The following is a 20,437-nucleotide window of genomic DNA, read 5'->3' on the forward strand; positions in this document are numbered from 1 at the left end:
TGGCATTCCCCTGGAAGTCTGTTAAGAGTTCTAGGAGGGGCAGTAACCAGCTCTTTGTACTGAGTCCTTCTCAAAAAGTTTCCATTAAATGCACCCTAAAAGATATGCTGGCTGGGATTTACTTCACAATAATCTGAAGGGAGGAGGGGAGGGCTGGAATGGAGACATAGTGGGTCTGGCCACCAGCTGGTTAATGGGTTTCATTATACTCTTCACTTTGGTAGATGTTTGAAATTTTTCATAATTAAAAAAAAATACCCTTATGGTCAAGGAATGATTACGTTAGTATTTTTACATTATTATATTTTGTATAAATAACCTTATATTGAGTGAGGTCTTTGGTTTTTTTGGTATTGATTTTAATGATTGGAGTCCATAGCAATTAGAACTGAATCAAGGTTAGGCTGGTGAGAAGTCTTCAAATGTGTGTTTATTAATCAGACTTAAAAACATATATAACATTTGGGTACCTCAGTTACAAGTCAACCCTCCTTCCATGTCCCTGTAAAGAAAAGTGGAATGGGCAAAGTTATGATCAGGTGCCAGAGAGTGGGCCTTTTAGAGGCTGAGAATATTTAGGTGTGAAGTATGGGAGAAATGAAATCCTACCACTTAAATTAGATTCAGGGGTGAGCCTGGTTTAGGGTCAGAAGCCCTATGAGACCCCACTACCACCACCACTACTGATGCTAATTTTGCCCCATCGTAGGCTGGTGTTTACTTACTCCTTTGTCTCTGTGCTTTAACCTTCTTTCTTCCTCTTGTCCCTTTAGTACTTTCTTGCCTCCCTCCACATCATCCCTTGTCCCCCGGACCCAAATCCATCTGTCTTGATCTCTTTAGGCTGATTTTCCTATATCATGTCCCATTCTAGCCATTCTAGCCCAGGCCCAGAAGCTGGCCCACAGTTCACTACCTTTCTTCATTTCTGCTTTTTAGTGAGTGACCACTAGTGTTTGTTAACAAAAGTGATTGGACCACGAAGTGGCAGGCTGAGGCATGAAGACCCATTCATGTAGCCTTAAAAGATTTCAGGCAGTTGGCAAGTAAGAATTCTAAATAAAAATTGAAACTACCACCTGTATTTTTTCAGGCCGTTGATGCTCACTGCCATCAGCTGCATCCTCCCTATGGCACTGGTAAGTGTGGGAAGGGCTGGTGACAGTTTTGGTGGGCTGCTGGATTTCTTTTTTCTGGGGGAAAAGTCTATTTGCAAGCTATGTTGTTAACTTGTCCTTGAGGGCTGGAGAGCTTCAGCCAGCTAGAGGAGACTAAAAAGATAAAGAAGCCACTGATCACGTTCATGGATATCCTTGGGGAACTGTTGTCAGGAGCAGGGGCTATTTTAGCATGTGCCTTGATCCGTATATAAAATTAGTATGTTCTGTGCACTATTTTGAGTAATAAACATGTACTATCCAAGTGCTCTGGGGTGTCAAATAATAACTGTTAAATTTCCTGGAACTCGCAAAACCTTTTTTTTGAAGATAGATGTTGGTTGTGTGCTAGAAAGGGTCCTAAATGTCATATGTGCTTACCATTTCCTTCAGTAGCAGGAATTGATCTCTCTCTGGTATTTTAAGTTCTTTGTGGTCAGGGGACTCAAATGTTTGTTCCAATGACTAATTTAAACTTCTGATAGAAGACTTGCTTGAATGCGGTGGAGGGGAAGGGACTTGGTAGAAATCAGAAAATAAGTTTGTGGCTGTTATTAACAAACTTCAGGTGGACTTGCAATTTGTGATCTGAAAAATGATATCACAATCTGCTTACACTGAATAAAGCTGAAACAGAAGTAGGGCAGCAAGTCACAGAATTGCTAGTCTAAACCCACAAGCAAATTGCTATTGGAATTGCCTTACTTAAGATCCTGAACCCTGCAGCCGTCTCCTTGTAGCAAGCGGGTCAGAGGACACAGAGATTCAAAGTTTTATCTTATAAGGTAGTCTCCATTCTAAGCTGACAGTTTGATTTCAGTTCTCTAGTCTCTAACACCCTTAGACTGTGGAAGAAAGTGCCTCCAGAACAAAATGCTGAGATTGTAGATTTGCATGCTGCTAACCACGTCAGTAACAGCGACTAAAGCATTCATATTCACTTCATTACATCTCTGTGAGAAAATCTTAGCATTATTGGCCCACAGCCTGAATTTCCCCCTGGTCTTCATCCTCCATTCCTCAGTCCTGCTTGTGAAGCAGGCATAGAACTGTGTGACACATTTACTATGTTATTCATTTAAAAAACAGAAAGGAGAACTTGACTCCCAAGCAGCCATCTACTCTAGGTTTCTAGGCCAGTGTAACCAAGTGGTAACTACTGAACATGTTTTGAGGGCCTGTGTCAGATAGTATTTTCCAAAGGTCATGAGCAAACACCTTCTGTCATCCACTATAGTCTGTGCATTTTAGAGTTTCAGTCAAAAACAGACTATAGAGGATGACAGAAGGTGTTTGCTCATGACCTTTGGAAAATACAAATGACCATAAACAAAGTCCTTTTTGACATGCATGTAGCACATGCTTCCTGAAATAAAGATCTGGAAACCATCTGAGAGTATTGACATTGTAAATGCAATGGCAAAACAAAGCCATATTGGATTGAGGGCTACGGGTAATGCAGAGCAATGTGTAGGGTAAATGAGAACAGAGGAGAGAGAGCTCATTTCAAGCTGGAAAGAAAGCTCCCCAGTAGCGTCTAACCCATTGTGGTGCAGGTTTGGAGGACTCAGGGAAAGTGGGAGCATGGGCTGCGCTTGGTCTCTGCTCAGACCCCATCTTTGACTCTGTGAAAGCCTTCTCTGGACTACCCAGAAACTTGAGGGTACCCTTCACTCTTCACAATAAACTTTATGCTTGCCCCCACTTTTCTACCTTGCTCATACACTTTCCTTCCCTAGCTCCCGGTAAAATGAGAGAGTTCTTATCTTTGGGGCTTATGTTCATACTAAGGGGCAGGCACAAATGTGATTGCCCAAAGACAGTCCAGGGAGTGAGAAGGCAGGCCTAAAAGCTGTGCCTGTGGAAAAGTGATGTTGGTAAGGAGCTGGCTGAATGGGAGCAGAACATCCGGTGAAATACTCAGAAGCCTTGGTCAGGGAGATCAAGAAAGCCAGAGAAGGCCAGGCACAGTGGCTCACGCCTGTAATCCCAGCTCTTTGGGAGGCCGAGGCGGGGGGATCACCTGAGGTCGGGAGTTTGAGACCAGCCTGACCAAAATGGAGATAACCTCATCTCTACTAAAAATACAAAATTAGCCGGGCGTTGTAGCGCATGCCTATAATCCCAGCTACTCGGGAGGCTGAGGCAGGAGAATCGCTTGAACCTGGGCGGTGGAGGTTGTGGTGAGCCAAGATCGTGCCATTGCACTCCAGCCTGGGCAACAAAAGCAAAACTCTGTCTCAAAAAAAAAAAAAAAAGGAAAAAAAAAGCCAGAGAATATTGTAAAGTTATCAGCATTATAGGCCTATATGGAAATGACTTTATACTAGCACTATTATACTGTACTCTATAGTGTATACAGTCAGTTAACCTTAGTGAAAACTGTGTTAAAACTGTAAAGTGGAATTTGTTATTTTGAGGATTATAAATAAAAAGTCAAAGTATACTGTTTGATGCAGTAATATAAGGGTCAACCCTTTGTATATTGTGACGTATGATTATGTGAGTGATTGCCGTTGAATTAAATTTGACAAACTTTCCGCCCTTTTATTATGAAAAATTTAAAAGAAAGAGCTTTAAATAATTGTACAGTGGACATTCATATACTATACCATCTAGATTATATAATTGCTAATCTGTTGCTGCATTTGCTTCATCATTTATCTGTCCATCAGTCAACTCATTTTTGAAGCAGCTCTATTAAAGTTTTACATGCCATTAAACTCATCCATTTTATCTTTTTATTTTATTTTTATTTTTATTTTGTTTATTTATTTTTTTGAGACAGTCTTGCTCTGTCACCCAGGCTAGAGTGCAGTGGTGTGATCTCGGCTAACTGCAAGCTCCGCCTCCCAGGTTCACGCCATTCTCCTGCCTCAGCCTCCTGAGTAGCTGGGACTACAGGCGCCCACCACCACGCCTGGCTAATTTTTTTATATTTTTAGTAGAGATGGAGTTTCACCATGTTAGCCAGGATGGTCTCGATCTCCTGACCTTGTGATCCGCCCGCCTCGGCCTCCTAAAGTGCTGGGATTACCGGCGTGAGCCACTGCGCCCGGCCTCCTTTTTATTTTATTTTATTTTTTGAGACGGAGTTTTGCTCTTGTTGCCCAGGCTGGAGTGCAATGGCGCGATCTCGGCTCACCGCAACCTTTGCGTCCCAGGTTCAAGCGATTCTCCTGACTCAGCCTCTGAAGTAGCTGGGATCACAGGCATGTGCCACCACGCCCGGCTAATTTTGTGTTTTTAGTGCTAATTTTATATTTTTAGTAGAGATGGAGTTTCTCCATGTTGGTCAGGCTGGTCTGGAACTCCCAACCTCAGGTGATCCGCCCACCTCGGCCTCCCAGGAGTGCTGGGATTACAGATGTGAGCCACCGCGCCCGGCCGAACTCATCCATTTTAAAGTGTACCATTATTTGAGTTTTATTAAATGTATACAACTATGTAGTCATTACCATAGTCCCAGTTTTAGAACATTTCATCACCTAAAAAATTCCCGTGTTCATTTATAGTTGATCCCTGTTCCCAAGTGACTACTGATCTTCTGTCTCAGTAGTTTTGCCTTTTCTAGAAATTTCATACAATTTGAATTATACAATATGTAATCTTTTGTTACCTGGTTCTTTCTCTTAGCATAATGGTTGAGGTTCATCCATATTGTATCATGCATCAGTAGTGTGTTCTCTTTTATTGCTGAATAATGATTTTCCATTGTATGGATATGCCACATTTTGTTTACCCATTCATTTGTAAGTTGAGGGACATTGGGTTGTTTCTAATTTTGGGCTACTACGCAGTATGCTGCTGTGACCATTCATGGCCAGGGCTTAATATAGCCATGTGTTTTCATTTCTCTTGTATAGATAACTAGGAGTGGGATTGCTGGGTCACATGGTAAGTGTATGTTTAACATTTATTTATTTATTTATTTTTGAGACGGAGTCGTGCTCTGTTGCCTAGGCTGGAGTGCAGTGGCACGATCTCGGCTCACTGCAAGCTCCACCTCCTGGGTTCATGGCATTCTCCTGCCTCAGCCTCCTGAGTAGCTGGGACTACAGGCGCCCGCCGTGACGCCCGGCTAGTTTTTTGTGTTTTTAGTAGAGTCGGGGGTTTCACCGTGTTAGCCAGGATGGTCTCTATCTCCTGACCTCGTGATCCGCCTGCCTTGGCCTGGGATTACAGGTGTGAGCCATCGTGCCCAGCCGTGTTTAACATTTTAAGAAATAAACTGTTTTCCAAAGTGGCTCTACTACTTTACATTCCCACTAGCATTATGTAAGGGTTCCAGTTTCTCTGCTTCCTTGTTAGCACTTGGTATTTTAGGTCTTCTGGATTATAATCATTCTAGTGAGTGTGTAATACCTTGTGGTTTTAATTTGCATTCCCTAATGACTAGTGTCATTAACCACTAATGTAATTAATGATCTTTCCTTGTGCTTATTTGCTATTCATACATTTATTTTTTGTGGTGAAATGTCTGTTCAAATACTTTGTCTGTTTTTAAAAATTGCATTTTGTGCCTTACTGAGTTCTAAGAGAGAATTCTTTACATAGTTTGAATTATTTTATCAGATGTATGATTTGCAGATATTTTCTCCCATCCTGTTACCTGTATCTTTTTTTTTTAATCTTTTTTTTACTCCATCTAGTTCTGCTTCCTACTTTTCCATTTTCTAAATGGTGTCTTTTGAAGAGTAAAAGCTTAATTTTGATGAAGTCCAGTTTATCTTTATTTTCTTTTTTTAAAAAATTTTTCTTTTAAGGATTGTGCTTTTAGTGTCATATCTAGAAATCTTTGCCTAAACTAAGGCACAATTTTCTTCTGTGCTTTCTTTTAGCAATTTTATAGTTTTAGGTTTTACATTTAGATATGTGAACTCTTTTGAGTTAATTTTTGTGTGGTATGAAGTAATGGTCTGTGTTCTGTGTTTTGTTTGTTATGTATAAACAATTATTCAGTTGTTCCAGAACCCTTTGTTGAAAAGACTTTTTTTCTCCATTGAATTACATTGGCACCTTTGTTGAAAATTTACCATACATGTATGAGTTTCCTTTTAGACTCTGTTTTGTTCTATTGATCTATAGGTCTGTCTATTCCATTTTCTTTTTTTCCTTTTTTTACTCCATCTAGTTCTGCTTCCTACTTTTCCATTTTCTAAATGATGTCTGTTGAGTAAAAGCTTAATTTTGATGAAGTCCAGTATCTCCACTGTCTTGATTACCGTATGTAGCTTTATAGTAAGTCTTGAAGTCAGATGGTGTAAGTCTTTCAACTTTGCTCTTTTCTTTCAAGATTGCTTTGGATATTCTGGATCCTTTACATTTCTACAGATTTTGCAATCAACTATTAATTTTATTAAAAAGCTTGTGATTTTGATTGGGATTTTCATTTTGATTGGTTTTGATTGTTGTGTTCAAAATCTGTAGCTGTGCTGCCCGGTATGGTAGCTATGTGTGGCCATTGCTCATTTGAAATACAGTCAGTTTGAATTGAGATGTGCCGTAAGTCTAAAATACAGACTGGACTTAGAATGAAACAAAGGATAAAAATAGATTATCAATGCTTTTTTATGTGTTACATGTTGAAATAATACAATTTCAGATATATTAGGTTAAATAAAATAAATTATTAAAATTCACCCACTTAATTTTTCAATTTGCTGCTATATAGAAATACTTTTATGGCTCTTTCTTTGAATTCTAACATTTGGTTTTTGTATATATTGACTTTGTATTTTCTTTCTTCTTCTTTTTTTTTTTTTTTTTAATTTTTATTTTGTGACAGTGTCTTGCCCTGTCACCCAGGCTGGAGTGCAGTAGAGCTATCATGGTTCACTGCAACCTCAACCTCCCAGGTTCAAGTGATCCTTCTACCTCAGCCTCCCAGGTAGATGGGACAACAGGTTCATGTCACCATGCCCAGCTAATTTTTTGTACTTTTTGTAGAGACAGGGTTTTGCCATGTTGCCTTGGCTGGTCTTGAACTCCTGGGCTCAAGTGATTTGCCTGCCTTAGCCTCTGAAAGTGCTGGGATTACAAGCGTGAGCCAGTGTACCAGGCCAACTTTGTATTTTTTTTACCTTAGTAAATTCATAAATTCATTTATTAGTGTTTTTTTTCCCCCTGTGGAGTTTCACTCTTGTCCAGGCTTCAGTGCAATGGCAAATTTTTAAATTAAGGATTTTTGTGTCTATGTCTGTGGAATATTGGGGTTTTTTTTCTTGGTTATGTTTTATCATGGTTATGCTAACCTCATAAAATGAGTTTGGAAGAAATGTCCCTTTCTTCTCTAGTTTGTAAAAGTGTTTATGTAAAATTAGTGTTGATAGAATTCATCAGTAAAATCCCTGGGCCTGGAACTTGGTGGGAAGGGTTTCGATCATGACTTCAATGTCTTTACTATATAAAGAGCTGCTCAGTTTTTCTTTTTCATTTTGTGTCATTGTTGGTAAGTATTCTTCAAAGAACATGTTAATTTCATTTAAGATGTCAATTTTATTAGAATTAGGTTATTCATAACATTTTCTTATTTTCCCTTTAATGTCTATAAGAATTGTAGGGGGTGGTCCATCTTCTACCTCTGTTATGGATAATTTGTTTTCTCTTTTTTCCTAATTGTTCTGTTTTATCAACTTTGTTGATATTTTTAAAGAATCCATTTTTAGACTTCGTTAATTTTTGCTGTTACTTGGATTTTATTTCTTTCTCTTTTTAATTGTTACTATTTTCTTCTTTTTACTTCGTTTTAACTTAGTCATCTTTTTCTAGCTTCCCTTTTTTAGCTGTAATACACGGCAGTGACTAAATTTTTCTAGCGTCTTAGGTTAGATCTTTATGTCATTGATTTTTGGACCTTTTTTAATATATACATTTATAGTTTTAAATTTTTGTGTAGGCATTATATTAGCTGCATCTCACAAATTATGTAGTATTTTTGTTATTCAGTTCAAAACATTTTCTAATTTCTCTTTTGATTCCTGCTTTGACACAGGGGTTCTATAGAAGTATGTTCTTTAATTTCTAAATGTATGCTACAAAGAAGGGCATTATTGGTAGCTGACAGTTAAGAGAAACATATGGGGGTTCTGGAATCATTCAGTGAATTGCTGTGGGGAGGAATTAGGTGATGGGTCCTGAAGACTCTCTTCTACTAAGGCATATAAAGTTTGTCCTGTCAATACTGGAGAGCAGTGATGGGTTTTAAACAAGGTAGGAACTGATCCTGGCAAGAGTTAAGGGATCTGCAAGAATTGTGTTATTATTACTGTTGCATAAGGGTGTCAGGAAGCTCATCCTGAGGATGATGGAGTGGAAGGGATATACATTAAGATGCCTTTCCATGTGAGTGAGGCCCTTCTGATGGGAGTGCTGAGGAGAGGAAGAACTAGAGATTGGACACTGGAGTGGTGATGATGGGAGAGGGTAAAGTGGTTAAGGAAGAGTGAGACGTGGAGGAAAAGGCCAACAGTCCTACCTTGAGAGGAGTGGGAATGTGGTGCCCCCCACTGGCAAGATGGGGATACAAGAGGAAGAGCACAGAGTACCTGAACAGGTGCTGCAAAAGACATCATAGAGATCAAGAGGGGGTCATTAAGGCAGAAGGAAGTTAAGTGTCTGATTTCTGTCAGCAAGATAAGGTATGAGAAATGTTTGAATTTGGCAACAAGGGAGTTTATATTGCCTGGTATATGTGCATAAAGAAAGAATATCTTAGTATTTCTACTGTCAGCAATTTTTTTTTTTTTAAACGCAGTCTCGTTCTTGTCACCCAAGCTAGAGTGCAGTGGCGCGATCTTGGCTCACTGCAACCTCTGCTTCTCGAGTTCAACCGATTCTCATACTTCAGCTTCCCAAGTAGCTGGGATTACAGGTGCCCACCACTATGCCCGGCTAATTTTTATATTTTTAGTAGAGACAGGGTTTCACTATGTTGGCCAGGCTGATCTCAAACTCCCGACCTCAGGTGACCTGCCCGCCTCGGCCTCCCAAAGTGCTGGCATTACAGGTGTAAGCCACCGCGCCTGGCCAGCAATTCTGAGTAGATTGAAATTCATCAATTGAAATCAACATCTTATCAAATTATGAGCCAAACTGAATTAAAATCAGGAATAATCTGTGAATTTTTAATTTATGATTTTGGCAGTTAGACCCCATAAGCTTTGAAAAGTATTATAGTTATTAAACATGATTATTCATTTTCTTTTTTTTATTTTTTATTTTAGACGGAGTCTCGCTCTGTCTCCCAGGCTGGAGGGCAGTGGTGCGACCTCGGCTCACTGCAAGCTCCGCCTCCCGGGTTCACGCCATTCTCCTGCCTCAGCCTCCTGAGTAGCTGGAACTACAGGTGCCTCACAACGCCCGGCTAATTATTTGTATTTTTAGTAGAGACGGGGTTTCACCGTGTCAGCCAGGATGGTCTCGATCTCCTGATCTCATGATCCGCCCACCTGGCCTCCCAAAGTGCTGGGATTACAGGTGTGAGCCACCACGCCCAGCCATTATTCATTTTCTTGAAACAGTGTCTTGCTGAGTCACCCCGGCTGGAGCGTAGTGGCGTGATCATGGCTCACTGCAGCCTCTACCTCCTGGGCTCAAGCGATCCTCCTACCTTAGCCTCCTGAGTAGCTGGGACTACAGGCACATGCCACCATGCCCAGCTAATTAAAAAAAAAATGTTTTGGCTGGGCGTGGTGGCTCACACCTGTAATCCCAGCACTTTGGGAGGCCGAAGCGGGTGGATCACCTGAGGTCTGGAGTTTGAGACCAGCCTGGCCAACATGGTGAAACACTCTCTACTAAAATACAAAAATTAGCCGGGAGTGGTGGCAGGTGCCTGTAATCACCGCTACTTGGGAGGCCGAGACAGGAGAATCGCTTGAACCTGGGAGGCGGAGGTTGCAGTGAACCAAGATCGCGCCATTGCATTCCAGCGTGGGGACAGGAGCGAGACTTTGTCGCAAAAAAAAGAAAAGGCCGGGCTTGGTGGCTCACGCCTGTAATCCGAGCACTTTGGGAGGCCGAGGCAGGCGGATCACAAGGTCAGGAGATCGAGACCATCCTGGCTAACACTGTGAAACCCCCGTCTCTACTAAGGCATCGTGGTGGGCACCTGTAGTCCCAGCTACTCAGGAGGCTGAGGCAGGAGAATGGCGTGAACCCGGGAGGCAGAGCTTGCAGTGAGCCAGGATCGCACTACTGCACTCCAGTCGGAGCAACAGAGTGAGACTCTGTCTCAAAAAAAAAAAAAAGTTTTTTTCTACGTATAGGATCTCACTATTTGCCCAGGCTGGTCTCAAACTTCTGAATTCAAGTAATCCTGCCACCTTGGCATCCCAAAGTGCTGAGATTACAGGCTTGAGCCACCACACCCAGCCTGTAAGTATTCTTTACTCATGGTTTTGTGAATGTACAAAATGACTGTCAAAGAGATTCCACCATCTTAGGGTTTGCTCTTTAAACAGGGATGAGATTTCCTCTGGGGAATAGTGGAAATGAATTGGAGAATGGGTTTGCTGGAAACAGTAACCTAATGAATGGTACCCTTTTTGGCCCTTGATATGGAGGGAACAATAGATACCTTTTTTATCTCTGATTAGAGACTCAGATTACTCAGTAATTATCTTGAGACTCCTTTTGGACAAGAAACTTTCTAGTTTTTAATTTCTAGTTTTTTCCTCAGTTAATGTTTCTAGAAATAGAAAAAGCATTCATAGTGCCGGGTGTGGTGGCTCATGCCCATAATCCCCACACTTTGGGAGGCCGAGGCAGGATGATCACTTGAGGTCAGGAGTTCGAGACCAGCCTGGCCAACATGGTGAAATCCCATCTCTAGTAAAAATACCAAAAATAGCTGGGCGTGGTGTTGAGTGCCTGTAATCCCAGCTACTTGGGAGGCTGAGGCAGGAGAATCACTTGAACCCGAGAAGCAGAGGTTGCAGTGAGCCAGCGTCGCGCCACTGTACTCTAGCCTGGGCGACAGAATGACACTCCATCTCAACAGAAACGAAAAAGAAAAAGCATTCATAAATAAATAGGACTTTTAATCCTCTGGTTACATGTTGATCTAATAGAACTGCAAGTTTCTTCTGAACACCACATTGGTCACATGTGTTCCTTCTAAGTCATTAGTCTTTTTTTTTTTTTGGCTTACATTGGTTGTTTACTACCCTGGATCCATTTTTCTTTTGGAAAAGATTTGGCCTTTTCTTTATAAGTTGTCTTGATAATACTTAATCCTAACTACCAACAGGTTGTTAGCTCCTTCATTACAACAGCCCAGCAAGAGCTCTTCTTGATTCTACTGAAAGGTTTTCTCTTCACAATTGAACAAATTATAAAGGGTAACAAGGGGACAGGGGGTGAAGGACTCAGTTATGAAAGTGTTGACTGTGATAGATTCTAAATGGATTGTTGAGCTCTTTCAAGCATTAAAGACTAATGGTGTGAATACTAGTTCGTTCCTTAGAAAGCTCAGCTGTTTGTACTCAGACAGATTTTTACCTTTAATCTGGCTTAATATTGTTTAGAAGATTTGTTTTGGCCCTCCTGCCAGGAGGCCAAGATGGCTCAAGGTGGCCACTGCTTCCTCTGGAAAACTGCTGGGGAGTTGAGATGGGGGTTCAGTCAGTTCTCTCTTGTGACCCAAATCAGGGAGAAGGTAGCCTCCTTGCTGAGACTACCTTTTAGAATATATTATTCTAGAGTATCATTTTCTCACTGTTTTTCTCCATCTCTGTGCTGCTTTTGCTCAGAGGACTCTGGGGAATCTGGCTTTCCTGTAGATCCTTCCTGGTGTCCATTACTGGATGAGGTGCAGTGACACTACATTTTCCCTTAATTAGTGGTCTCAGAATCTCATCAGGTTTGTAGTAGATTTTTGAGAGAGAGAGTCTCCAATCTTCTGTGTACTATCAACCTAATATGTGTAATTATCTCCTTTACTTTTTTTTTTTTTGAGACGGAGTCTCACTCTGTCACCGAGGCTGGAGTGCAGTGGTACCATGTCGGCTCACTGCAACCTCCATCTCCTGGGTTCAAGCAATTCTACTGCCTCAGCCTCCCGAATACCTGGGATTACAGGCGCCCGCCACAACACCCAGCTAATTTTTATATTTTTAGTAGAGACGGGGTTTCACCGTGTTGGCCAGGCTGGTCTCGAACTCCTGACCTCAGGTGATCCGCCTGCCTCTGCCTCCCAAAGTGCTGGGGTTACAGACGTGAGCCACTGCGCCCGGCACTTTTTTTTTTTTTTTTTTTTTTTTTTTTTTTTTTAAGAGACAGGGTTTTGCTGTGTTGCCAGGCTGGCTGTGGTGTTGAACTCCTGGGCTAAGCAATTCTCCCGCCTCAGCCTCCTGAGTAGCTGGGACCACAGGCATGAACCACTGTGCCTGGCAGTCACCCCCACCTTGATGTGGGGATCCCAGTAGTGTCTCTTACAGAAGGCTGCTGGGAGATGCATACAGCTGACGTGTGTGTGTGTGTGTGTGTGTGTGTGTATTTATTTTTTATTTTTTTGAGATGGAGTTTTGCTCTATCACCCAGGCTGGAGTGCAGTGGCACGATCTCGGCTCACTGCAACCTCTGCCTCCCGGGTTCAAGCGATTCTCCTGCCTCAGCCTCCTGATTTCCCAAGTAGCTGGGATTACAGGCGCCCGCCACTACGCCCAGCTAATTCTTGTATTTTTATTAGAGACGGGGTTTCACCATGTTGGCCACAACTTAGCTGGTCTCAAACTCCTGACGTCAAGTGATCTGCCCGCCTCGGCCTCCCAAAGTGCTGGGATTATAGGCACGAGCCACTGTGCCTGGCCTATCCTATACGTATTGATGTCCTCTTGGCTGTTGCCATTAAAAGAATAGATTTACACCTCACCACTGTCCATTTTATAAAGTGGTAGGCATATCTCCCTTCACATTGTTTGTTCTCACCAGAACTCAGCTCTGCTGGGATATTCTGAGTTGGTCATTATCAGACTTGTAATCATTAGGAAATTCTTGGCTTCAGTAGAGGGTTATGTTGTTATCTGTAGGTGAGCACTACCTAGTGTGTTAATTCTGAGGCTTCACTGTGGCTGTTGGTGCTGTTGAAATCAAGAGATCAGTGTTAAACCTTCTTGACCTTTCTAATGAAACAACAAAATTTTATTTTAAATCCACAGCTTAAAGACATACCATTTAATAATCAGCATTTGTTGAATGGCTACCCAGTGTCCAGTCCATTTCTGGGCTTTGTGGATCTGTGAGTCAACCCTGACCCCTGTTCTTAGTGTAAAGGGCCCATCTGTAGTGAAAAAAGACGGCAGCTGTTGGACATGGTCAGAATTCCTCTGAGTTACTAGGTGGCATAGTATCTTTGCTAGGACTTGGTGGTCATGCATAATGAGACATGTAGAAGTCAGAACAGAAAGCATGGTGTAAGGCTGATTGGGCCCCACTGGGTATGAGAAGAAAGAAAAGGTTCCAGCAGGGAGTTCATCTAAAACAGTATCACTTCATTGTTTTTGTTTGTTTGTTTGTTTGTTTGTTTTTGAGACAGAGTCTTACTCTGCTGTCGCCCAGGCTGGAGTGCAGTGGCGCGATCTCAGCTCACTACAACCTCCGCCTCCCGGGTTCAAGCGATTCTCCTGCCTCAACTTCCCGAGTAGCTGGGACTACAGGCACCTACCACCACACCCAGCTAATTTTTGTATTTTTAGTAGCGACGGGATGTCACCATATTAGCCAAACAGGTCTTAATCTCCTGGTCTTGTGATCCACCTGCCTTGGCCTCCCAAAGTGCTGGGATTACAGGTGTGAGCCACTGCGCCTGGCCCCACTTCATGTTTTTTAAAACTATTCGAGGGGTAAACTGACGTAGGTTGGAAACAGAGCAGGTCAAAACTCCCGTGCTGCAGGAGGATCACTTGAGACCAGGAGTTTGAGACCTGCCTGAGCAACATAATGAGACCCTCTCTCAACAACAACAACAAATCAACTGGGAGTGGTGGTGTGGGCTTGTAGTCTTAGTGTCTTGGGAGGCTGAGGTGAGAGTATTGCTTGAACCCAGGAGTTCTTGGTTACAGTGAGATATGATCATGCCACTGCATTCCAACCTGGACAACAAAACAAGACCCTGTCTGTAAAAAACAGAACAAAAAACTGTTGTGCTTATCAGTAGTAGGATCGTGTCTGTGAACAGGCACCGCACTGTAGCCTGCATGACTTCATCTCTATTTAAAAAAATAGATAGGCCGGGCACGGTGGCTCACGCCTGTAATCCCAGCACTTTGGGAGGCCGAGGCTGGTGGATCACGAGGTCAGGAGTTCAAGACCAGCCGGGCCAAGATGGTGAAACCCTGTCTTTACTAAAAATACAAAAATTAGCTGGGCGTGGTGGCGGGCGCCTGTAATCCCAGCTACTTGGGAGGCTGAGGCAGAGAATTGCTTGAACCCGGGAGGCAGAGGTTGCAGTGAGTCGAGATCGTACCACTGCACTCCAGCCAGGGCAACAGAAGGAGACTCCATCTCAAAAAAAAGAAAAAAAGGTAAGGCCGGACTCAGTGGCTCACACCTGTAATCTCAGCACTTCGGGAGGAGGCTGAGGCAGGCAGATTGCTTGCGCTTAGGAGTTCAGGACTGAACTAGGCAACATGGAGAAACCATGTCTCTACAAAATATAAAAAAATTAGCTGGACATGGTGTCTTGCACCTGTAGTCCCAGCTACTCAGGAGGCTGAGCTGGGAGTATCACTTGAGCCCAGGAAGTGCAGATTGCAGTAGCCAAGATCATGCCACTGCACTCCAGCCTGGGAAACATAGTGAGATCCTGTCTCAAAAATAATAATAATAAAATAGGCCGAGCGCGGTGGCTCACGCCTGTAATCCCAGCACTTTGGGAGGCCAAGGCGGGTGGATCACGAGGTCAGGAGATCAAGACCATCCTGGCTAACACGGTGAAACCCCATCTCTACTAAAAATACAAAAAATTAGCCCGGTGTGGTGGTGGGCGCCTGTAGTCCCAGCTACTAGGGAGGCGGAGGCAGGAGAATGGCGTGAACCCGGGAGGTGGAGCTTGCAGTGAGCCGAGATTGCACCACTGCACTCCAGCCTGGGTAATACAGCGAGACTCCATCTCAAAAAAAAAAAAAAATACAATAAAAAATAAATAAAAAAGCTGTTTGTATCAAAGACTGTATTTCAGCAGTTGTTAAAGTTTAAACAAGATGTCTTGTCTCTCTTTTCATTTTGTGATAGTGTCTGTTGGGGACGAATAGCTTTGTTAAGGACACAGAAGAAATATCAGCCATAATTTGGGAAACCTAGGCCTAGAGTCTATGTGGGCCTCTGCAAGAAAATACTGTGGCTGGCCAGCCAGCACTTTGGGAGGCCGAGGCGGGCGGATCACGAGGTCAGGAGATCGAGACCATTCTGGCTAACATGGTGAAACCCCGTCTCTACTAAAAAATACCAAAAAAAAAAAAAAAAAAAAAAAAAAGAAAAGAAAATACAGTGGCAGCATGCACGGGTCAGATGCCACTTACCTTGGAAGGAAAATAGAGACCCCCATCCTGAGTGAAGTAAGCTGTCTTGAGTCCTTGATTTTTCTCCAGATGTACCTGGACTGTAGGACAGGAAGGCACTCACTGATTGCATAGCCTTTGACACTCATTATATGCTGGGATGTGCCCTTGTTTAGTAGGTGCGCACTTGTCTCCTTTCAGGAGTGACTTGAGCGCTAGAAGGAGGGATCATGTGGTGTTCACTGTGTGTCTTCCCTCTGCTGCAGTTCTTATCTGTGGACCAGGCACATACTACCTTACAGGTCCATGGTAGCTCTTGTTTAAGGACTCAGTCCAGTGAGCAGACAATGTTCTGTGTGTTTTCTTGTCTCTCTAGCCGTAAATATGTTCCTACTTTCTCCTTGCTTTAGTAGTACCCTCATGGTGTGTATTGCTCTCTCTGGGAAGCCTGATCTAAGGCTTCCAAACACATCCCAATCTTCTGTGATCTCACCCAAGTCTTGACACTTAGGGTGTTTTGTAACTAGCTTAACTTCCCAATTACGATTATAACATGTAGATGCTTATTTGCTTCTTTAACCTAACATTAAAATGTGAACTTCTAAGGCGGGTGAAGTGGTATGCACCTGTAGTGCCCGAGAGGTTGAGGTGGGAGGATCACCTGAGCCCAGGAGTTCAAAGCTGTAGTGTGCAATGATCATGCCTGTGAACAGCCTTGTATTCCAGCCTAGACAACCGTAGTGCAGCTCATTATTTAAAAAAAAAAAAAACAAAAAAACCTGGCCGGGCACAATGGGTCACACCTGTAATCCCAGCACTTTGGGAGGCCAAGGCAGGCGGATCACCTGAGATCAGGAGTTCGAAACTAGCCTGGCCAACATGGTGAAACCCTGTCTCTACTAAAAATACAAAAATTAGCTGGGCATGGTGGCGCATGCCTGTAATCCCAGCTACTCGGGAGGCTGAGGCAGGAGAATCGCTTGAGCCTGGGAGACAGAGGTTGCAGTGAGCCGAGGTCATGCCACTGCACTCCAGCCTGGGTGACAAAGACTGTCTCAAAAAAAAAAAAAAAAGTCTTTCTATGTTAATAAACTTCTCAATCTTTTAAAATAACCATGTAGTAGTCCATTGCATAGATCTGTCATATATTATTTAACTCATTTTTGTTGGATATTTAGGTTATTTCTAATTTTTTACTATTGTAAGTAATCCTGTGGTAAACATATCCTCTGTCATTTCCTCAGGGAGACTTTACAGAAATAGAATTGCGAGCTCAATGCACCTTCTGAGGTTCTTTAGTAGCTATAACTATGTGCTTTAAATGTCCCCTGAGAGCATATAGAGGCCAGAAAGGCTGCCCACAAATTTCGAAACTGTCCTTGCAACTAGGACTGATTGGCTGCTGGGAATTCAGTGATTTTAAACTGAGTTTTGGGTTTTTATATTTTGTTTGTTGTTTTCTGGTGTTTCTGTAGGGTTTATGCAAACCCAGGCCTGGGGATTTTCTACAAGTAACAGGCCTAACTAGAGATGTGCTTCCGGCGTACAACCTCCTACAGCAGCTTGAGGGAACATATATGACATGAAGGAAACTCCAGCCCTGTTGCTTATATTATTAATAGATGCTAGGTTGTTATTTACTGTAAAATGAGTGTCTTTAAGTTTCAGATAAAATTAATTTTCTTGAAAGATTTATTAATGAAAACAAAGATTGAAAATCAAGAGATTCATGAAATCACTAAGATTGTAAGAGTCTAAACTTAAAAGACAAAGCAGAGAACCAAGAGGAGGAATTTGGTAATCCAGCCTGGGCTTGGCATAATAGACATGAATGTATACAGTTCTCAAAATGCGAAACACTTTAAAAGAAAATGCAGTTATAATTCGATTTTTTTTCTTTCTTCTTTCTAGGTATCTCATTCAGTTGCTAAACTTATATTAGTTAATTTCCACTGGCAAGTTTCAGAGATATTGGACAGGTAAGGTATTTGGGGGAGGAGAGAGAACATTGCCCATAGCTCCCCTCTCCGTGGTGATTATTGTTTACATTTTGGACCATATTCGACTATATTCCAATGTGCATAGTATATTTTTAAAACATTGGATTCTATTTTACATCCTCTTCTCTTAATATGTTGTGAACTTTCCCCATGTCTTCAGTATATTCTTCTACCCCAGTTTTAATACTAGCACAGTATTCTATCATAGATATTCCATACTTTTTCCAAACCTCTGTTGTTGGACAGTGAATTCAGATTTTCTTTCCCATTGTTAATTTTTAATCAGTGCCTTTCTAGGTAACACGCGCCAACATCTTTTACTTCTTTTGGATACGTCAACTTGAGGATTGTATCATAGTACGAGTTGTATTTCCTTTAGAAAATGTAGGCTGCTGGCTGTACGTGGTGGCTCATGCCTGTAATCTCAGCACTTTGGGAGGCTGAGGCGGGCGGATCACCTGAGGTCAGGAGTTTGAAATCAGCCTGGCCAGCATGATGAAACCCCTTCTCTACTAAAAATATGAAAATCAACCTGGCGTGGTGGTGCACTCCTGTAGTCCCAGCTACTCAGAAGGCTGAGGCAAGAGAATCGCTTAAACCCTGGAGGCAGAGGTTGCAGTGAGCCGAGATTGTGCCACTGCACTCCAGCCTGGTGGCAGAGTGAGACTCCATCTCAAAAAAAAAAACAGAAAGAAAATATAGGCTACTTTACCACCCACCACCTCTACCAGCAGTGTATTTGAGTATTTCTTTCCACCTCCTCCAGAACTAGAGATCTTAAGATACAGACCTTAGAGTCTCAAGATGTCTTACAAGTTGTCAGGAAAAGGGGCACCTCCTCCTCTGCATCCTCTGTAGAGATCTCCTATGCTCACCCTCGGAGGCGTGTGCCCCTGTCTAGCACAGTGTTTCTCATCCTCAGCATTATTGACATTTTAGACTAGATAACTCTTTGTTGTGGGGGGCCTGATCTGTGAATTGTAGGATGTCTGGCAGCATCCCTGGGCTCTATTAGAAGCCACACCTCTAAGTCCTTGGCAATCAAAATGTCTCCAAACATTGTCAAATAACTCGTGGGGAGCAAAATTCCCTCTGGTGAGAAGCACTTGTTACCATTCCTACTCTTTCACACTGCAGTGAATCTTCCTTTCTCGTATGGTATGTTTTTTTTTATTTTTATTTTTTTGAGACAAAGTCTCACTCTGTCACCCAGGCTGGAGTGCAGTGGCACAACCTTGGCTCACTGCAACCTCCATCTCCAGGGTTCAAGCAACTCTCCTGCCTCAGCCTATGAAGTAGCTGGGATTACCAGCACTTGCCACCATGCCTGGTTAATTCTTGTATTTTTAGTAGAATTTATCTACAGAGGAAGATCGTGCCTTTCCTTCTCCGGGCTGAACACAACTGGGAAGGACATACCAGCTGGAGCAGCTCAGCACAGTCAGGAAAGAGCAAATTCGTTCCTGATTCACTAACTGCACTCATCCTGTGTACTCAAGAACGGAATATATTTAGATGGAATTGCAGATGAACTGCTGCTGCCTTATTATTATACTACTGCCCAAAACTCTGGAACCACATAGGTTCTGGCAATAGGATATCTCTCACTGCCCACACTCTTTCAGCATAACTCAGGAGTGGAGATTTGGATGGCAAAAGATACTTAAAATATTACTGTGGGAATTAGGAATAAAACGGGCCCCTCAATAAGGATAGCTGAGGGAAGCATTCTGACTAGGTAGAAATCACATAGATGAGACATAATTCTTTTCTGCTCCAATTCCTGGTATCTTGGAAATATGTTGACCTGGGCTTTGTGTGGCACTTTTATTGCCACTTGATAATTCTGTTATAAATGGAAAATTATTGTAGGTAACTCTTACTGTCACGTAATTTTTCTGGAGTTAAATATAGAAAAGGAATTATTGGCTATAGCATACGTGTAGTTTTGTCTTTGCTAAATAATTCCAGGTTGTTTTCCAGAGTGATTTACCACTTTACACGCTCAGCAGTGGTATATAGGTGTTCCTGATATTGTAAGACTTAAAGTTTTGCAGTTTGGTGGATGTAAATGGCATCTAATTGTTTCAATGGTCCTGTATTATTAAGGAGGTTGAGAATCTTTTCATATGTTTAATGGCCATTTGTGCTGCCTCCTCCTTTGAAATGCCTGTTAAGTCTTCTCCCCATTTTTTATTGAGTTATTTTGTTATTCCAAATGGATCCTTCCCCCTTCTCCCATGTCCAGTTCCTAGAACCAAATGGATTTTTAGGAGTTTTGTTTACTCTGAATACTGATCCTTTGCCAGTTATTTTTTTTATTTTTATTTTTATTTTTATTTTTTTTAAAGACAGAGTCTTGCTCTGTCTCCCAGGCTGGAGTGCAGTAGTGCAGTCTCTGCTCACTGCAACCTCCACCTCCCAGGTTCAAGCGATCCTCCTGCTTCAGTCTCCCAAGTAGCTGGGATTACAGGCATGAGCCAACACTCCCGGATAGGGTTTCACCATATTGGCCAGGTTGGTCTCAAACTCCTGACCTCAAGTGATTTACCCACCTCGGCCTCCCAAAGTGCTGAGACTACAGGTGTGAGCCACTGCGCCCAGCCATATATATAGAATTTTTTTTTTTTTTTGAGACAGAATCTCGCTCTGTCTTGCAGGCTGGAGTGCAATGGCACAATCTCAGCTCACTGCAACCTCTGCCTCCCGGGTTCGAACGATTCTCTTGCCTCAGGCTCCCAAGTAGCTGGGACTATAGGCACGTGCCACCATGCCCAGC

General features: G+C 42.5%; 1 protein-coding gene across 37 annotated transcripts in view, besides 3 other annotated features; it reads left to right on the forward strand.

Annotated features, from left to right (window-relative positions):
* The window catches only part of ARIH2 (ariadne RBR E3 ubiquitin protein ligase 2), a 67,541-nt gene that overhangs the window by 25,201 nt on the left and 21,903 nt on the right, over window positions 1-20,437 (forward strand). For 18 of the 37 annotated variants that reach the window (NR_146084.2, NR_146082.2, NR_146083.2 and 15 more), the window contains one exon: window positions 17,570-17,637. Coding sequence is in view for 29 of the 37 variants with exons in the window: in NM_001349210.2 (NP_001336139.1) it covers window positions 17,570-17,637 (68 nt within the window). In the remaining 8 variants the exon portion in view is untranslated. Of the gene's footprint in view, window positions 1-939; window positions 1,140-5,023; window positions 5,055-17,569; window positions 17,638-20,437 lie in introns of all 37 variants that reach the window. The other 19 variants (NR_146085.2, NM_001349216.2, NM_001349217.2 and 16 more) reach the window with 4 other exon arrangements.
* Window positions 2,069-2,238: an enhancer, noted in NCBI's record as "active region_19847". NCBI's record gives its function as "activates an Ori minimal core promoter by ATAC-STARR-seq in GM12878 lymphoblastoid cells {active_cell/tissue: GM12878}" and the evidence as "EXISTENCE:reporter gene assay evidence [ECO:0000049][PMID:35858748]".
* Window positions 15,791-15,991: a silencer, noted in NCBI's record as "peak4646 fragment used in MPRA reporter construct". NCBI's record gives its function as "represses an SCP1 promoter by STARR-seq MPRAs in K562 erythroleukemia cells {active_cell/tissue: K562}" and the evidence as "EXISTENCE:reporter gene assay evidence [ECO:0000049][PMID:32103011]".
* Window positions 19,500-20,147: an enhancer, noted in NCBI's record as "OCT4-NANOG-H3K27ac hESC enhancer chr3:49000975-49001622 (GRCh37/hg19 assembly coordinates)". NCBI's record gives its function as "activates a minimal SCP1, AML or CMV promoter by ChIP-STARR-seq in primed H9 embryonic stem cells {active_cell/tissue: H9 hESC(primed)}" and the evidence as "EXISTENCE:reporter gene assay evidence [ECO:0000049][PMID:30033119]".

This window comes from Homo sapiens, chromosome 3 (assembly GCF_000001405.40).
Source record: "Homo sapiens chromosome 3, GRCh38.p14 Primary Assembly".
In the NCBI taxonomy this organism is placed as follows: Eukaryota; Metazoa; Chordata; class Mammalia; order Primates; family Hominidae; genus Homo; species Homo sapiens.